Source organism: Homo sapiens, chromosome 5, assembly GCF_000001405.40.
Source record: "Homo sapiens chromosome 5, GRCh38.p14 Primary Assembly".
Lineage (NCBI taxonomy): Eukaryota > Metazoa > Chordata > Mammalia > Primates > Hominidae > Homo > Homo sapiens.
Genome location: NC_000005.10, coordinates 179,225,406 through 179,241,769, shown reverse-complemented (window position 1 = coordinate 179,241,769; position 16,364 = coordinate 179,225,406). Strand labels below are relative to the sequence as shown.

The following is a 16,364-nucleotide window of genomic DNA, read 5'->3' as shown; positions in this document are numbered from 1 at the left end:
TACTCAGAACTTAAAAAGAAACTTCATGTGCATTATCTCTTTTGACTACACTTTTCCTGCAAAAATGGTCACTTCCTGAAAAAGTGAAATAAATTCAAATTGCACAAGTAAAAGAAAGAGGAAACTTGAATTCTGCCCAAAGGAAACTTCTTCAAGAAGGCTGTGCTCTTTTGATTTTAATACACTGAAATTACAGAATGGCCTTTGACATGGCAATTTTCATGTCGTTTTGAACGTCAAATTGATTTTGACTCTGTTTGGAAGGCAGTGAGGCCCAAAGCCCTGACTCATGAAAGAGCAGAATAACAACCCGAACTCGCCTCGTTTTGCTGGACGTGGAAGCCCGGCTGGGTTGATCTGCTGTCTCCTCGTTTTCCACCAGCGTGAGGTCATCTCTGGCAGTGTGTGCCTCACAGAGGCTGGCTGGGGCAGCAGGTACTGGCCACTGGTGCAGGGTCCCATTGCCTGCGATGAGGGACACAGCTAACGTTCCCGAGGAGCTTCCAGGCACCTTGCACTCTGTCCCTGGCAACACAGTGACAAGGCTTTGTTCCTCCACCCGAAACAAGGCAGTGGCATGGCCTCCGGTTCTCGAAGGTTCACTCCTATCTTCCGCTCACACTTCAGTTTCTTTGTAGTCTTGAATCATTGTTCTCCAGCATATTCTACAGAGGGCCTTGGTCTACCTCACCCATGCAGCTAAACCCATCTATTAGGGAAACCAACACTCAAGCTCACTCCTGCCATTAAACTCTCCTGAGATTTGAGTTTCCTCCTCTTTCACAAGACCGGAAATCCCTTGTAAGTTAAGCCAAGCTCATTAACGTTGTCTTCTGCGGCATCCATAGAGTTCTGCCAGGAGAGTTGAACCCTGTTCCTCTTCCCTTTACCGGACAAAACCTCTGGGAGAGGTGGGCTCAAGCTCTGAATCTGGTGACGTTTATGGTTTCCGCAGCAGTGTGTCTATTGGCATCGCGTATCAGGGTCGAGGGTGGCAAGGCATGGGGTCTGCAGAGTTTCTGCCCTCCCCCAAACAGCAAGATCCACACGCACTGACACGCGTCACGGGAACTCATTTGACACAGGATCAAGTTTGCAAAATTTCCCATGAGGTCGACCATGACCACAGCTGTCAAGGTTTCCAAAAAGGACTCCCCACTGGATTTGGCCTTGGTCATACCTTAAACCTTCTTTTGCCAGCGGCCCCTATACCTGCATAATCCGTTGCAGTGTTGCATTCTGATGACCTTCTATTTTCCCGGTTCCCTTTTGCTCCGACCTGTGCTCCAGCAAACCTGCAGGCCATTGATGCTGCCGCCTTGTCACGGTCTCTCACACCACTGATCCTTCCCTCCACCCCTTACCCAGCCTCCTTCTCTTAAACTGCAGGTTCCCTCATTGGAGTCACTCTTGCTTTGTAACATCTACTGAACAATGCCCTAGTCCTGGTAAAATGAAACTTTCTACCTACTTCATGCTGGCACGGGTACCCCTGAACAAAGCTCAGCCCTGCTTCTGCTCTTGCTTACGATGATGTTCACCAGCAAGGTGCCGCTAGCAGCCAGACTGCTCCCCTCAGTCTGTTTGCCTCCTTCCAGATGACTTTTCATATCTTCCGTCCTCTGAACACCTCCAACATCTGCTCCCTATCCGCATTCACACCTGACGGCTTCCCTCGTCTGTCACCTACTCTCCCAGCTTTTTGCTCTCTCAGCAGCACCCCCTAGGTGGAGACGCCATCTTCGATTCCTCTCCTCTCACTGTGTCTTAACCCCACTTGGACCAGGCCTCTGTGTGTGCCACTCTGCCAGAGGCACCCTCCCCGAGGTCATCATGCTGCTGCATCTCCCTGCCAATCCTCAGTCGCCATCCCTAGCACGTGGCAGGCTAGTCCCTCCTGCTCCCTTGGTGTGGCTTACCGGACACCCACTTTCTTGGTCTAATCACAGCACTCACAGTTCATCCCCGTTTCCTTTGCTGATCCTTCCTCTTCCCGCACCCTCTGGGGTTGATGCGCCCAGGGCTCTGTCCTGGACGCTCCTTGGTCTCCCTCTGCACCCCTCTGTGGGCGATCTCATTCCTCTTGTTGCTTTATGTACCATGAAATGGCTCCCAGATTTGCGTCTCCAGCCCAGATCTCTCTCCTGCACCCAAGACTCATATTCCAACTGCCCCTCCACCTTCCATGCTCTCTGTATTGCCCACGCTCCTGACTCCAGCAGAATCTGCACCTCATCTGTCTCTGCACTCTTCAAATCCAAGTTCCAAGGCATTTCTCTACTTGCCAACCTCAATTTGGAAGTACCACCTCAGCACGCCCCTCACTGAACTCGCGCTCACCCTCTCCGCACTCCACCCTCGGCCTTCCCCAGCTCTGTGCACGGCTGATCCTTCCTTCCATTTGCACAGCCAAAGCTCTGCAGTTAGGGTTGACCCCTCTCTTCCTCTCACACTGATGAGAAACCTGTTGAGAAATCTTTTTAGGTTTTCTTTCAAAATCCACCCCGACCCTGATCACTTCTCACCATCTCCACGGTTGTCACTTGCGTCAAGCCTTTGTCCTCTTCTGATGACTTTGGGAGCCCCCAGCAGACCTCCCTGCCTCCCCACCCCCATGTGTCCTCAACACAGCAGCAGGGATTCTTTTCTCTAACAGCTTTATTGAGATATAATTCACATACTATACAGGTCACCCATTTAAAGTGTACGATTCAATGGTTTTTATTATATTCACAACATCTTCTCCCTCCCCAAAGACCCCACACCCCTTAGCTGTCGTCCTTCCTCCCCCACCACCTTCCAGGCAACCATTCATCCACTTCCTGCCTCTCTAGATCTGCCTACTGGGGCATTTCCTGTAAGAGGAATCCTGCACTATGGTGGAAGGGTCCTGGGGCGGTCCGTGGTCAGGGATCCTTTGATGCCTTCTGCTGGATCATGTCTGTCTTCTGCTGGAAATCCCACAGTGGCTCCTGCTTCGTTCAGCTCAGAAGTCAGCACCCAGCACCCGGGCCACCTACCAGACCCCACACGACCCAGCGCCTCGCCCTGGGACCCCGTGGCCTCCATTTTCCTTCTCACTCACTTGATTCCTGCCATCCTGGGCCTCCTTGCCCTTCTTTTCAAAACCCCACATGGGGTCCTCCTTCCGCCTGGATGCCCTTTCTAGACACCCTCAGCTCACCCTCCCACCTCATTCGAGTCTTTGCTTGCATGTTCCCTTCCAGTGGGACCTACCCTGGCGCTCTAAGGCTTTGTAGACAGCTCCCCCCGCACCACCTGCCCTGGCACTCGCAGACCCTGTGCCCTCCAGCCCCTTCCCGCAGCACTCACTGCCCTCCGGCATACTCAGAGCACTGGCACCCTCTGTTCCTTCTGCTAGCGTGGCCGCTCCACAGAGCAGGGAGCTGCGGTGACTCCCACGGTCTCCCAGGAGCAGTCCCTGAGGGGAGCTGGCCCCTACACAGTAGCTGGGGGTGAATCCGTGGACACCCAGCAGGTGAAAACCGGGACTCAGCTCCCTGGAGAGACGTCTGCGGTTCCACCTGCTGCATGTTCCAGAGAACTAGAGCAGCTCCAAGTTCCGCTGTGGCTTCCTTCAAGCTCAGGAGGAATATCTGTGAGCCCAGAGTGGATGGAACTGCTTGTTTCTTCCAAGCCACAGAACAGCTTGGCTGTTTCCAGAGTGCACAGCCTCCCCAAAGTCTCTCCAAGAACATGGCTTCGGTGTGTGTTTATTGTAGGATGTTCAAGGCCTCCGTGGGGCGGGGCAGGGGGACCCCAAGTTCTGGTTAAGTAACTGTCCTTTAACACCGCCGTTCTCAGGAGCCACAGCTACACTGCGGCGTGCGTGTCGGGAGCGATGGCTGCCTGGGACTCTTCAGCTTGTGGGTTTGCTCTTCCTTTCTCAAGCACCTTGCAGTACAAGAAGCACTGGGTTTTTGTGTCCTGGTGAATCCAGGGATCAAGGAAAACCAGAGGACACAGATGCTCCAAGATGCCTCCTTCCTTTCACCATTTTCCAGACAAAGCAGACAGGGACACAGAGAGGCCCAGAGCCCCTCATCAGGCCCCGTCTCCTTTAATTCCGTCCTCATTAAACCCTGCTAGACTTTCCAACATGCTGACCTTGAGAATCACACATCGCCTCATCTCCCCCAGCCTCCCAGAGCTGGGCAGCACCGCTTAACTGACGCGACTGGATCCAGGTGACGAAGCCTTTCTTGAGAGTAGCTGAAGTGACACTGTCTTAGTCAGTAGAGGCTGCTACCACAAAAAGCACCCCCAACACCAGGTGGCTTACATAGTGTTTATTTCTTTCTCATGGTTCTGGAGGCTGGGAAGTCCAAGATCAAAGTGCTGGCAGATTTTGTGTCTGCTGAGGGCCTACCTTCTGGTTCACACATGGCACCTTCTTGCACTTTGTCTTCATGCATTGCAAGGGGCAAGAGAGCTCTCTGGGGCCTCTTTTATGTTATTTCTACATTTTTAATTTAAAAAAATGTTTAGAGACAGAGTCTCACTCATCACCTAGGCTGGAGTGCAGTGGCACGATCCTAGCTCACTGTGTCCTTGAACTCCTGGGATCAAGCGATCCTCCTGCCTCAGCCTCTCACGTAGCTGGGGCTAGAGATGTGAGCCACCACATGCAACATATTTTTTTTTATTTTTAGTTTTTGTAGTGATGAGGGCTTGCTGTGTTAACCAAGCTGGTCTTGTACTTCTGTGCTCAAGCTATCCTCCCGTCTCAACCCCCCAAAGTGCTGAGATTACTGGTGTAAGCCACTGCACCTGGCCATGGGGCTTCTTTGATAAGGGCACTAATCCCATTCATGAGGCCCCACCCTCATGACCTAATTACCCCCCAAAGGCCCCACCTCCTAAAATCATCCCTCTGGGGATTAGGTTTCAACATATGAATTTTGGGGGTACAAATATTCAGTCCATAGCATACATCGAAGGGGGAAATTCTTTTTTCTGAAACCAGGTCTTGCTTTGTCACCCAGGCTGAAGTGCAGCAGCATGGACTCGGCTTACTGCAGCCTCAACCTCTCAGGGTCAGTCAGTCCTCCCACCTCAGCCTCCCGAGTAGCTGGGACTGCAGGTGCACCCCATTACGTTTGGCTAATTTTTTTTATGTGTATGGAGACAGGGTTTTACCATATTGCCCAGGCTGCTCTTGAATTCTTGACCTCAAGTGATCCTACCGCCTCAGACTTCCAAAGGGCTGGGATTACAGGCATGAGCCGCAGCAAAGAAAGTCTTTTTAAACGATTCTTTATCAGAGGCCTCTGACAGCTCATTCTTGTTCCCCACCTTAAGCACCTCTGGCTTTCATTGATATTGCTTGCTTGGGTCTTAGTGCCTCAGTCAGGGCCTGGAGGTTGGGATTTCCTGGTGAATTTGATGGTTAGTCTCCTGGTTCACCCTTACGGGAGTGGCTGGAACAATTGGCGTCCCTCTTCCCCAAGCACCTGAAGACAAGTCCTGCCCTTTGTGTGCTCAGAGAGGAGGGAGGGAAAGTGATTTCTGGGCCCAAAGTCCAAGACTTGGAGGGAGGGAAGACCCCAAACACAGCACAGAGGGACGATGCCCATCATTGCTCCCAAGGCAGCTCTTCCCCCTGCCTGGGAGCGGAGCTGACCTCATGGCAGAGGGCTAGGCAGAGTGTGGTTAATATCTCACAAGGCACAGGACATCTGGAAGCTGAGATGTGCCAAGAGGCTTTGAGGCTGAGCATATTTCAGGGCTGGGATGGGAGGGAGCTTCTCATCTGTTTAGTGGCAGCTAGACCAGGAGGGCACCTGGGACCAGGACCAGGCTAGGTGGACATGAGTGGTCACAGGAGGCTGAGGCTGCAGGGTGTCTGGGAAGGCACTTGGCCAGATGCAGAGGGCAACCCATGCCCTGAGGGTGGGGGCACTGTTGGAGCAATCCCAGTGCAGGGAGACCCCCAGGATCTAGCAGGAGCTCTGTGCAGGGCTCACATGGTTCATGGGGGCCCAGCAACAGAGAGGACCCTATTGGCAACCATCAGCACTGGATTCTGCCTTTGGTCTGAGCAGAGGTGGTCCACCCCGCTTCCCCTCTCCTTCCTCTCTGCCCTTCCTCTCCAGGGCAAGGCCTGGCCTACCAGCACTTTCGTTGGCCCTGCTCAGATGCTTGGGACTAGGTGGGAACAAGGCCCTCTCCTATGAGAGTTCCTGGCAGCACCAACCCCTAGGACCTGAGACAAAGGGGCCAGGTGAGTTTCTTTAAGGGCCCCTCGCTCATTCGATTTGGGGTCCCTCTGATTTCCATGCAGCCTGGGACTTGGTAGGACTTGGACACACATAGGCTGGCATCTGGCTCCATTGGTGTGAAGGCGTCAGTTCTGTCCCACACACCCTGAGCATTTCATGCTATTCTGAGGCATGAGGATGAGCTCGTATTCTTGCTCCTTGTCTATTCCTTCATCCCATTGTGCCAAACCTTCATGAGCCTCCTCTCAGCCAAGGCAGGTGACCCAGAGATGAATCTGATGCATGATTTTACCCCTGGAGCTCATGGTCTGGTTAGGGGACTTGGAAACTGGTGAGCTTATACTTCTGCATGATCAGTGGTTTAAAAGAAGGAAGCACAGGGTGCTTGAGTCTAGGAGAGAGAGTAACTTGCTCTCTTTGCGGGCCTAACGAGCTGGGAGCTGGGTTTTGAAGACTGAATAGGAGTCTGCCAGAAAGGGCAGGGCAGGCATTCTGGGCAGAGTGAGCAGTGTTTTCTCGGACCCATGGCTGTAAGGGCGTTGCGGGAACATGAGCAGGTCCCTGGGAGGGTTGGCAGGCAGGTCAGGCCCATCAGGAGGCCCTAGCCAGTGTGCTCGCACTCCCGCACGGGTCTGCTAGGCTTGGGAAGAGGGAGGTACAGAGGATTTTAATGGGGGCAAGCTCAGGTGAGGACTCGAGCTACAGGGAGTGAAGGGCAGGGAGCAGCAGCGGATGGGGCCAGGTCTGGGAGGAGGCTGCTGCATCCAGGTAGAGGGAGGGGCTGAGCTCATCATGGACGGGGAGATGGGGAAGGTGCCAGGATGCGGTGACTCCTTGGATGTGGAGATGAGATGGGCACAGCAGCAATGGCTGATGGGTTGGGGTAGGGAAAGGTGACAGGTTTGTTTGGGACTTGTTGGCATGAAGGTGCCTTGTGACACCCCAGGGGCAGTTGCAGGCAGCAGGGGGCGGGGTCTGGAGCCTGGGGAGGTGCAGGCTGGAGGTGGGTCGGGGGGCACCTGTCAGCAGGTCCATGGTCATGGAGGTCAAAGCAGCAGGTGTGGAGCAGGCAGAGAGGAGAGCGAGGGTGAAGCCCTGCACACGGAAGCCCAGTCCTAGTGGATGAGCAGCGTCCAGGGCACGGTGGACTGGGCCCCACTTCCTGTGGGGGTGCAGCCTCCACTTCTCTCTGAGATGCATGGTGAGGCCTTCTCCATGCAGAGCTGGAGAAGTCACCTGAGGACTGCCCACCTGGGTGAATTCAGGCAGAGCAGCAGGAATCCCCCACAGAGCAGGGGTTAAGCCTCGAGGGCTGGTGATATCTCTGGCATCTGATGGGGAGGGCGCCTGTGGCAGGAGAGGGTCTCTTCTGGCAGAGAGCTTGCATGAAGTCCAGCTGCCCTGAGCCAGGAAGAGTTACTGGGAGGACATTAGGAAACCTGCAGAGTCCACGGGGAGTCGGGCTGTGGAAGGGCCTGGCAGTCGGGGTCCTGGACACAGGAGGGTCTTAACCATTGTGACCAGGTGTTTAGTGACACCACTACCTTTTCCTCTTCTGGCTCCTGCGGCTCAAATCCCACACTCTGTGAGGGAGAGGATGTTTGGCTTGGGGAGGGCTGTGTGCATGCAGGGTTCCAGGAATTCCAGGAAATAACACTGGGCTGCTGCTCTGAGAAAGGGGAGAATGGATGCTGGGCCACCCCCAGACCTTGGTGCCTGGTCCTTGGGGACCTGGAGATGGCTGCTCAGCGGCTTGAGGGCTTCAGTGTAGTCAGTGTAGTGTGTGTTTCTGTTTTTTTGTTTTTGTTTGTTTTGTTTGTTTGTTCATTTTGTTTTGTTTTGAAACGGAGTCTCACTCTATCACTCAGGCTGGAGTGCAATGGTACAATCTCCTCTCACCGCAACCTCTCCCTCCGGGTTCAAGCGATTCTCCTGCCTCCAGCCTCCCGAGTAGCTGGGATTACAGGTGCCTGCCAACACGCCTGGCTAATTTTTGTATTTTTTAGAGGAGACAGGGTTTTGCCATGTTGGCCAGGCTGGTCTTGAACTCCTGACCTCGTGATCCACCCTCCCCCACCCTCAGCCTTTCAAAGTGCTGGGATTACAGGCGTGAGCCACCATGCCCGGGCTGTTTTTGTTTTTTAATGTGACACATTTTAACAAGCATAGCATTTAACAAAGCAGATAATATGATACAACACATACACACAAGATACACTGTCACAGTCATGGGAGATGGCACTGATGATGTTCAGTCAGTATTTAGGCAGGATTGGAAAGAAAAATGTCTCTGCTGTGTTTTGCACACTTGTACACAGACACAGAAGTTTTTTATTCCAAAATGTGGAGTTATCTGCAACTCTGCAAATTATACTTGATATTTACTTTTCTTGATATATTTGCTGAAAAACGATTCTCCCAGTAAACAGTGGTGATTTCTCAGAACAGTAGTTATTTGTCAGCAGCCTTTAACTACGGCAAACCTTTTTCACTTGAGTTTGAAGGGTGAACGCCTTCCCGCCTCCCGACACAGATGCTCATGGTCGTGCATAATTTCATGTGCTTCCATTCTCCAGACTTGTTGGAAATGCCATATTTTATGCTTGTAATTAGTCAGATGAGCCAAAGGATTTGAAATTTAAACATTTGAACCCTAAGAGAATCTTGAAACTTTAACCAAAGAAACAGAAGAAGAATGTATACAAACATGGGAATTGCAGTTCAACAGCCCTTTATTAAAAAAAAAAAGGTATTGTGCTGGCAGTGGAATCAAAGACAAAAATATGATCATCACAGTCTACAAGGCACTTTACCGATCTACTCATCCTCATCCTGATGCAGACACGCGTGGGAATCGTCTGAGTGGCAGGACCTGCAGCCATTGTCACCCGACTTTACAGATGAAGCAGCTAAGAAATGACTCAATAAACTTATAGTGATTTGCTTGACATGTCAGAGTTAAAATGTAACAGCCCCAGAAGGAGTGGCCTAGCACAGCGTTCAAGAGCACAGACTCTTGGTAGCCATGCCAGGGTTCATATCCTGGTTCTGACACTTCCGAGCAGTGTGAAATTGGGATAGCCTTTCTCAGTTTCCCCATCTGCAGAATGAAGATAAGCATCACAGCTAACTCACACAGCTGCTGCGAAGAATCAGTGGGCAACTATAGACGAGGTGCTTGGAACAGTGCCTGAGCCACCTTAAGAGCAGTATGGATGTTTCTGTCTGTCAGGGATCCCGTGTGGCTTCCATGGCGCCGCACTTGGGCATAGTCGGAGATTTGATAAAACATTGGTGCAATGTAACAGCCGCACACAGGTGCACTGGCTTAGCAAACTGGAGTTTGGATTAATTTAATCAAAACCAAGTGTCGAGAGGGCACCAAAGTCCAGGATAAACGTGGAATATCTTCCTGGAGCATCGATTTTACTTTAAAAAGATGCACTCTATTTCATAATGTAAAATTGACACTTTTTAAAAGACAGAATGCGGAGGCAACTGTGGAGTTCTCATTTTTGGCAAAAGCTGATACGGGTTCTGCCTTCACTCTCTGGGATATTGGCTAATTTCCTCTTTTTTTTTTTCTTTTTCTTTTTTCTTTTTTTTTTTCCTAGAGACAGGGTCTCGCTCTGTGGCCCCAGCTGGAGTGCAGTGGCACAATCATGGCTCACTGCAGCCTCTAACTCTGGTACTCAAGTGATCCTACCCCCTCGGCCTCCTAAAGTGCTGAGACTGCAGGGGTGAGCCACTGCCTCTGCTGACTTCACTATTCACTGCACCGAGAAGACTCTCATGTGTATTTATAACAATTTGGATAAAAATTTTGGACATTGATCCATGTCAGCTGCGAGACAGGGAACGACTTGTTATATGCACCAATTTGTCCTTTAATTACTTGTTAAGCTTTGATTTGTCCTATTATCAGAATTCTCATCCTCTTCTCTGCAAGTTTATGCTCGCCATGGTAGGCGACTGTAGAGGTCACCGGCCCCTTACAGTTCAGCAAGTGTGGATTTGTGCAGACACCGGGACGCCATCAGCACATCGAGGCGGTAGACACTCGTCTTCTCCCACGGTTTCCTTCTGTCCCTTCATTTCTGTTGCTGTTGTTGTTTGCTTTTGTGGAAAGAACACTTAACGTGAGCTCAGACCTCTCAGAGAATTTCGAAGTGCACAGTGCCACATGGTCAGCTACAGGCACAACGTTGTACAGCAGACCTCTAGTACTTACTCGTCCAGCATCACTAAAACTTTACACCCATTGAACAGCAACTCCCCATTTCCCGCTCCCCCAGCTCTGGCAGCCTCTATGGTGTCATCTGCTTTCATGCGTTTGATTACAGATCCTCATGTGAGTGGACGAGTGCCGTATTTGTCCTTCTGGGCCTGGCTTATTTCAGAATGCGTGTGCATGTGGGGAGGGGGTCTGCGTACCATTACACTGTCACTGATGTGGATGTGCAATACAGGCCTGGGTCCCTCTCATCTTTTGGTAGCCCCCCCGGCTTTTTTTTTTTGAGACTGAGTTTCGCTCTGTTGCCCAGGCTGGAGTGCAGTGGCACGATCTCGGCTCACTGCAACCTCCGCCTCCCGGGTTCAAGCCATTCTCCTGCCTCAGCCTCCTGAGTAGCTGCAATTACAGGCGCCCACCACCATGCCCGGCTAATTTTTGTATTTTTAGTAGAAATGGGGTTTCACCATGTTGGCCAGCCTGGTCTCGAACTCCTGACCTCAGGCAATCCGCCTGCCTCGGCCTCCCAAAGTGCTGGGATTAGAAGCATGAGCCACTGCGCAGGCCTTGATAACCCTATTGTTTTACAAAATGAAAGAGTGCCTGACAGTACATGAATGGTGGTATGTTTTAGGTACATGCGTGAAATGGAGGAAGTCTGTATAGACGCAGACACACCGCAGTGCAGTGGTGCCAGCCAAATCCACGCTCCCAGAAGTGAGACCCAAGGTGACAGTAACTGGACCCAAGTATCCCCAAGTCTCACCGTCTCTGTGTGCCTGTGTGCACAGCCCTCCCGGGCATAACGTCAAGCGTATGTATTTGATGTGTGTTTGAGGCTGGGTCTTGCCCTGGCATCAGCAGAAGCAGGCCCTGGAGCGCATAAGTGACCACCAGACCTGCACACCCTCTGCACAGCTGAGCATCTCGGCATCAATGCCCTGTGAGTGCCCAGGGCCAGGTAGGCACTCAGGAAGCCTGCAGGCCCTGGGATGTCCAGACCGCACTTTCTGGTAATCCCACATTGCCCATCCTCTGCCTCTGCGCATCCCCTCCCCCCTTGCCCCCGAGGGCACCCTGCCTGCCCACCTCACGCCCAGCCCTGCCCAGCCTGCCCTGCCCTCCTCCCGCCGGGACCACCTCTGCTAAATCACTTAATCCGGTGATATGTTTCCTCTGGCAGGCCAAGCCCATCCCTCCTGACTCTCAGGGATTTGATTATAGTGTTTTCTAACAAAGTCAAAAACAGATTTCCATGAGAGGCTTATAGCTCAGTAATTCTATGGTGCTTTGGTGCAGTGTGCCAAGGCGCAGGGATGTACGGGGTCAGGATGTCGAGAGAAAAGGTCACAAAATTAAATTAGAACCAAGGAGGGTAAGCCTTGGCAAGAGAGGCCTGTCCGGCCAGCTGACAGGGGCATGCGCCCTGGAGAACCCCGAGAAAGGGGAGTTGTGAAAATGAGCCATTTCACGCCTAATTACGATTTCCCATAAGGTACTTAGGAGGGATGATGTGCGCTGGACTTGGACAATTAACGTAATTAAACATTCATGCTGCCTGCGGCCCATTTCCTGCCTGGGGATATCTTTGGAAGCTGAAGCATTTCTTTTTTCTTGGAGGTGATTTCAAGAATGGCTGCAGAGGAAGGGCTTCCTGCGGGGCTGGGCCTTGGGGGATGTACCTCTGCACCCCAGTGGGGCAGGACCCCTACAAAGAGTGTTTCTTGGTGGCAGCTGGGGGCCTGGGGGCCGGGGAAGGCTGGATGCCACTGACCTGGAATTACCTCTCCGTCGGGAATGGGCAGCGGGGTCTCATGTTTGTGGAGTGGGCAGCAGGGTCTCGTGTTTGTGGAATTACCTCTCCGTCGGGAGTGGGCAGCGGGGTCTCGTGTTTGTGGAGTGGGCAGCGGGGTCTCGTGTTTGTGGAATTACCTCTCCGTCGGGAGTGGGCAGCGGGGTCTCATGTTTGTGGAGTGGGCAGCGGGGTCTCGTGTTTGTGGAATTACCTCTCCGTCGGGAGTGGGCAGCGGGGTCTCGTGTTTGTGACTCTGCCTGTGTTTTGATCACGGCCAAGTCACTTAAGCCCAGATTCTCTGGCGTCCCCTCCTTTCCTCCGATTCTCTGACAGAAGCCTGTAAGGACTTCCTTGGCTTCTCTGGGCCTCAGGTTTTCTATGTGTCTTACTTGTGGACACTGATCAGGACACTGAGGGTCTGACGGAGAGAGGGTGGCCTGACCGAGGTGCACAGCTGGAGGTGCCTGACCGAGGTGCACAGCTGGAGGTAGCTTTGCTGGGACCAGAACCCAGGGCACTTGCTCACGTGCTGGCTGTCACCTCTCAAGCACAGGCCGGGGGAGGAGCTCAGGATCCAGCCAGACTGACTGAGCTGTTCTCAGGTGACCGCACACCACAGACTTCAGTGCAGACTGGCAGAGCTTCGGCTCCCTCCTCTGGGAAGGAGCACCGGGCTTCCTAGCTCCAGAGTTGTGGATGCTGGATGAGGAGGCCGTGGTGAAGGCACCGCCCCGGGTCTGGAGCCCCACAGGAGCCTTCCCCAGATGCTCCGCAGGCAGTGGATGTCCGCTGGCTTTGGTTAGTGTTCTGCCTGCCTTAAGGGCAGGCACAGTCGGCCCAGCCGCGCATGGTGGGTTCTGGGGCTGGGGGCACCTCCAGGTCTCAGGGCACCTGCCTTGCTGCCGAGAGACTGCATCAGGCAGGAGGCAAGGCAGTGGCCGGCATAAGAGCTGGGCCTTGCTGCAGAGTCTCCTTCCGCTTCACACCCACACTGGTTTTGGGCTATGGCAGGTGGAGCAGGGAGGAGCCAGGGCCCCGGAGGTCTTCAGGCTGGGGCAAGTCCACCCCCAATTCTGCCCTGCTGGCTGGAGAGGACAAGAAAACAGGCTGGTGCCCAGACTGGGTTCTGGTGGAGTGAGCTGAGTCAGGAACAGCCCTGTCCGTGCACCTGGCCCGTTCCTGTCACCTCTGTGGGCCTCAGGTTTTCTATGTGTCTTACTTGTGGGCTGTGGCCAGCATCGTTATGCCTACTTTTCAGATCAGGACACTGATCTGTGTGCGCCACTGCGGTGCTCTGCAGCTGATTCATCCTGGAGGCCGCCCACACCTGGGGCCTCCGGCCCACCCTCTCTCTGTGCTCCAGACCACTCCTGCCTGAGTGTCTCATGGGTGTCTGTCCTTGTGTCCCCACAGAAATCTCAGCCCAACACGCCCCACACGGCCTTCTCCTCCTCCCACGCGGCTCCTCCCGAGGGTCCCTTGCAGGGAAGGCTTCCCAGGGTGACCGGTTGCCCAGGTCAGAAACCCGGAATCCTCCCTGGCCCCACTTTCTGCACCCAAGCTGTGACTCCCCCTCTCAGTCTTTGTCCACACGCTGCCTCCCCTGCCTTCCACCCTCCTTCCTGGCTCCCTCTCCAGCCCCAAGCCAGGGCTGCCCTGCCCCCTCTAGTCTCTCTGCACTTCTGCCCTCCTCCCGGCCTCGGCCATCTCTCCTCTCCTGGCCCTCCCTCCTTGGCACAGCAGGGGCTTCCCTCACTCCCAGGCCCTCTGCACTGCTGGTCCTGTGGGCCGTGGTCAGGAACACCCTTCCCCCTCTGCCTGCCTCTCAGCCCTCCCCATGAGCGTCAGGTTCCCTCTCTGTGTCTGGGCCCTGCAGTCCTAGAGGGCATCTGGGGTTGAGGGGATGCTGGTCCTGCTCACTCTGTGGTCCCAGCCCAGCAGGCTCATCATCACTCAAAGGGCCCCAGCTGGGGGCCCTGCAGCCCACCAGATACTGCCGTGCCAGCACCCAGAGCCAGGCCAAGCAGATCGGTGCCAGACCAGTTCCACCCCAGATCACAGCTGGGCCTTGACTGTCAGGGTGGCCCCCTTCAGCTGCCAAGTGTAGAGTCGTCAGGGAGCAGGCCAGGCTGGGGGCTCCCTCTGCCCCTGACCCCTGGGGGAGCTGCTGGGAGAGTCCTGGCCTCTCCTGCATGTGCGTGGCTTGCTTTTTGGCTGGACTAAGGATTGCAGCCATATGAAATGCTCATTGCTGTCCTCATCCCCCTCCCATTGGCTGTCCTGGAACTCAGCTCCTTTCTGCAGGGCAGCCACTGCACACCTTTCTTCTGTGTCCTTTCAGGATGTCCTGTGCACACACAAGTATATATATATACACATGTGTACACACACATATATAAATCCTAGGATTAGAATCTCTGGCTCAAGGGATTTTGTGTCCTGTAGATACTGTGTTTTCGTTTTTCTGACTTTTTCCTGCACACTGTAGACTACACCGTGTGCTACCCTGCATTTGCGATTATCAGGGAACATGTCTTGGACGTCGTCCACAGCAGCCCCTCCAGACCTGCCCATTCCTCCTGCTCAGGCATTCCATCCTGTGAATCACTTGCTTAACCAGACCTTGACTGATGGGGACGTTACTTCTTTTCACCGTTTCTTATAATGCAGCCGTGGATATCCTTACACTTATTTCCTTGGCTACTTGTATGAGGACATTTGTAGGATTAAATTTGATAACTAGAATTGTGGATTCAAAAGGTTTGTGCATTTTCAACTTTGATAAGGATGACCACAACCCTAGGATGGTTGGCTGGATCCGTTTCTCTCAGCATGTACCCCTGATCCGTACATTTTTATTTGGACAATCTGATGCAGGTTGTTTCTTTAATTAAGGGTGAGGTCGAGCGTCTTCTCATACACTGAAAAGCTGCTCGGTGGCTCATACCCGTAATACCAACACTGTGGGAGGCCAGGGTGGATGGATCACCTGAGGTCAGGAGTTTGAAACCAGCCTGGCTAACATGGTGAAATCCTGTCTCTACTAAAAATACAAAAAAAAAAAAAAATTAACCAGGTATGATAGCAGGCACCTGTAATCCCAGCTGCTTGGAAGGCTGAGGCAGGAAAACTGCTTGAATCCGGGAGGCGGTGGTTGCAGTGAGCTGAGATCACGCCACTGTACTCCAGCCTGGGTGACAGAGACTCTGTCTCAAAAAAAAAAAAGAAAGAAGGAAAGAAGAAAGAGAAGAAAGAAAGAAAGGAAGGAAGGAAGGAAAGAAGGAAGGGAAAGAAAGAAAGAGATAAAGAAGAAAAGAAAAGCTGCTGTCTTTTCTTTTCTGACAATTGTCCCCTCATATTGAAATGAGAGAAGTTCTCTTGTCCTCCTCGCAGGGCGTGCTATGGGGGTGTGGCTTCCTTCTTCAGTGTCCCTCTGCTCAAACCTCTGGGGGAGAATACAGACGGGCAGGCTGTGGGGCTCCGACCCCACAGCAGTGTCTAGGGGTGAATGTTTGCAGCCCCTGAAGCCCCAGTGGGCGTGTGCTGCATGTGCTCTTTTACTTTAGCTGTCTGTAGGCGGCTTGTGTTAACCAGCTCAGTTAGACCCTCTACCTTGTCGCAAGGACAGAGGGCTTTCTGTATCTCGGGTTCTTCCTTGATGTCCTGGAAGAATCAGATCACACGTGGGCTTGGAGAATGAGTGCGAGGTTTTATTGAGTGGAAGTAGCTCTCAGCAGATGGGGGAAGCCAGAAGGAGGATGGGGTGCAAAGGGCTTTCCCTGGAGTCGGGCCGCTAAGCAGCCTGGGCTCTCCTCTGACTGCCCCGGCCAAACTCCGTGTCGTTCTGCTTCTGCCGGTCGGTGGCCTGCAGCGTGCTGGTGCTCGTTGGTGCGTTCCTCTCGACGTCCAGCCGCCTGTGTGTTCCTCCCCTCATGCGCTCCTCTCGACGTCCAGCCGCCTGTGTCTGCCTGTTAGGGTCTCGGGTTTTTATAGGCACAGGATGGGGACATGGTGGACCAGGGTGGTCTTGGGAAATGTGACATTTGGGCACAAAGGCAAGAGTGCCTGTCCTCACATAGGTCCGTGAGGGTGGAGC

General features: G+C 53.3%; 1 protein-coding gene across 4 annotated transcripts in view, besides 2 other annotated features; it reads left to right on the top strand.

Moving 5' to 3' along the window:
- The window catches only part of ADAMTS2 (ADAM metallopeptidase with thrombospondin type 1 motif 2), a 234,609-nt gene that overhangs the window by 103,692 nt on the left and 114,553 nt on the right, over window positions 1-16,364 (top strand). The window lies entirely within an intron of this gene.
- Window positions 6,704-7,362: an enhancer, noted in NCBI's record as "H3K4me1 hESC enhancer chr5:178661409-178662067 (GRCh37/hg19 assembly coordinates)". NCBI's record gives its function as "activates a minimal SCP1, AML or CMV promoter by ChIP-STARR-seq in primed H9 embryonic stem cells {active_cell/tissue: H9 hESC(primed)}" and the evidence as "EXISTENCE:reporter gene assay evidence [ECO:0000049][PMID:30033119]".
- Window positions 7,363-8,023: an enhancer, noted in NCBI's record as "H3K4me1 hESC enhancer chr5:178660748-178661408 (GRCh37/hg19 assembly coordinates)". NCBI's record gives its function as "activates a minimal SCP1, AML or CMV promoter by ChIP-STARR-seq in primed H9 embryonic stem cells {active_cell/tissue: H9 hESC(primed)}" and the evidence as "EXISTENCE:reporter gene assay evidence [ECO:0000049][PMID:30033119]".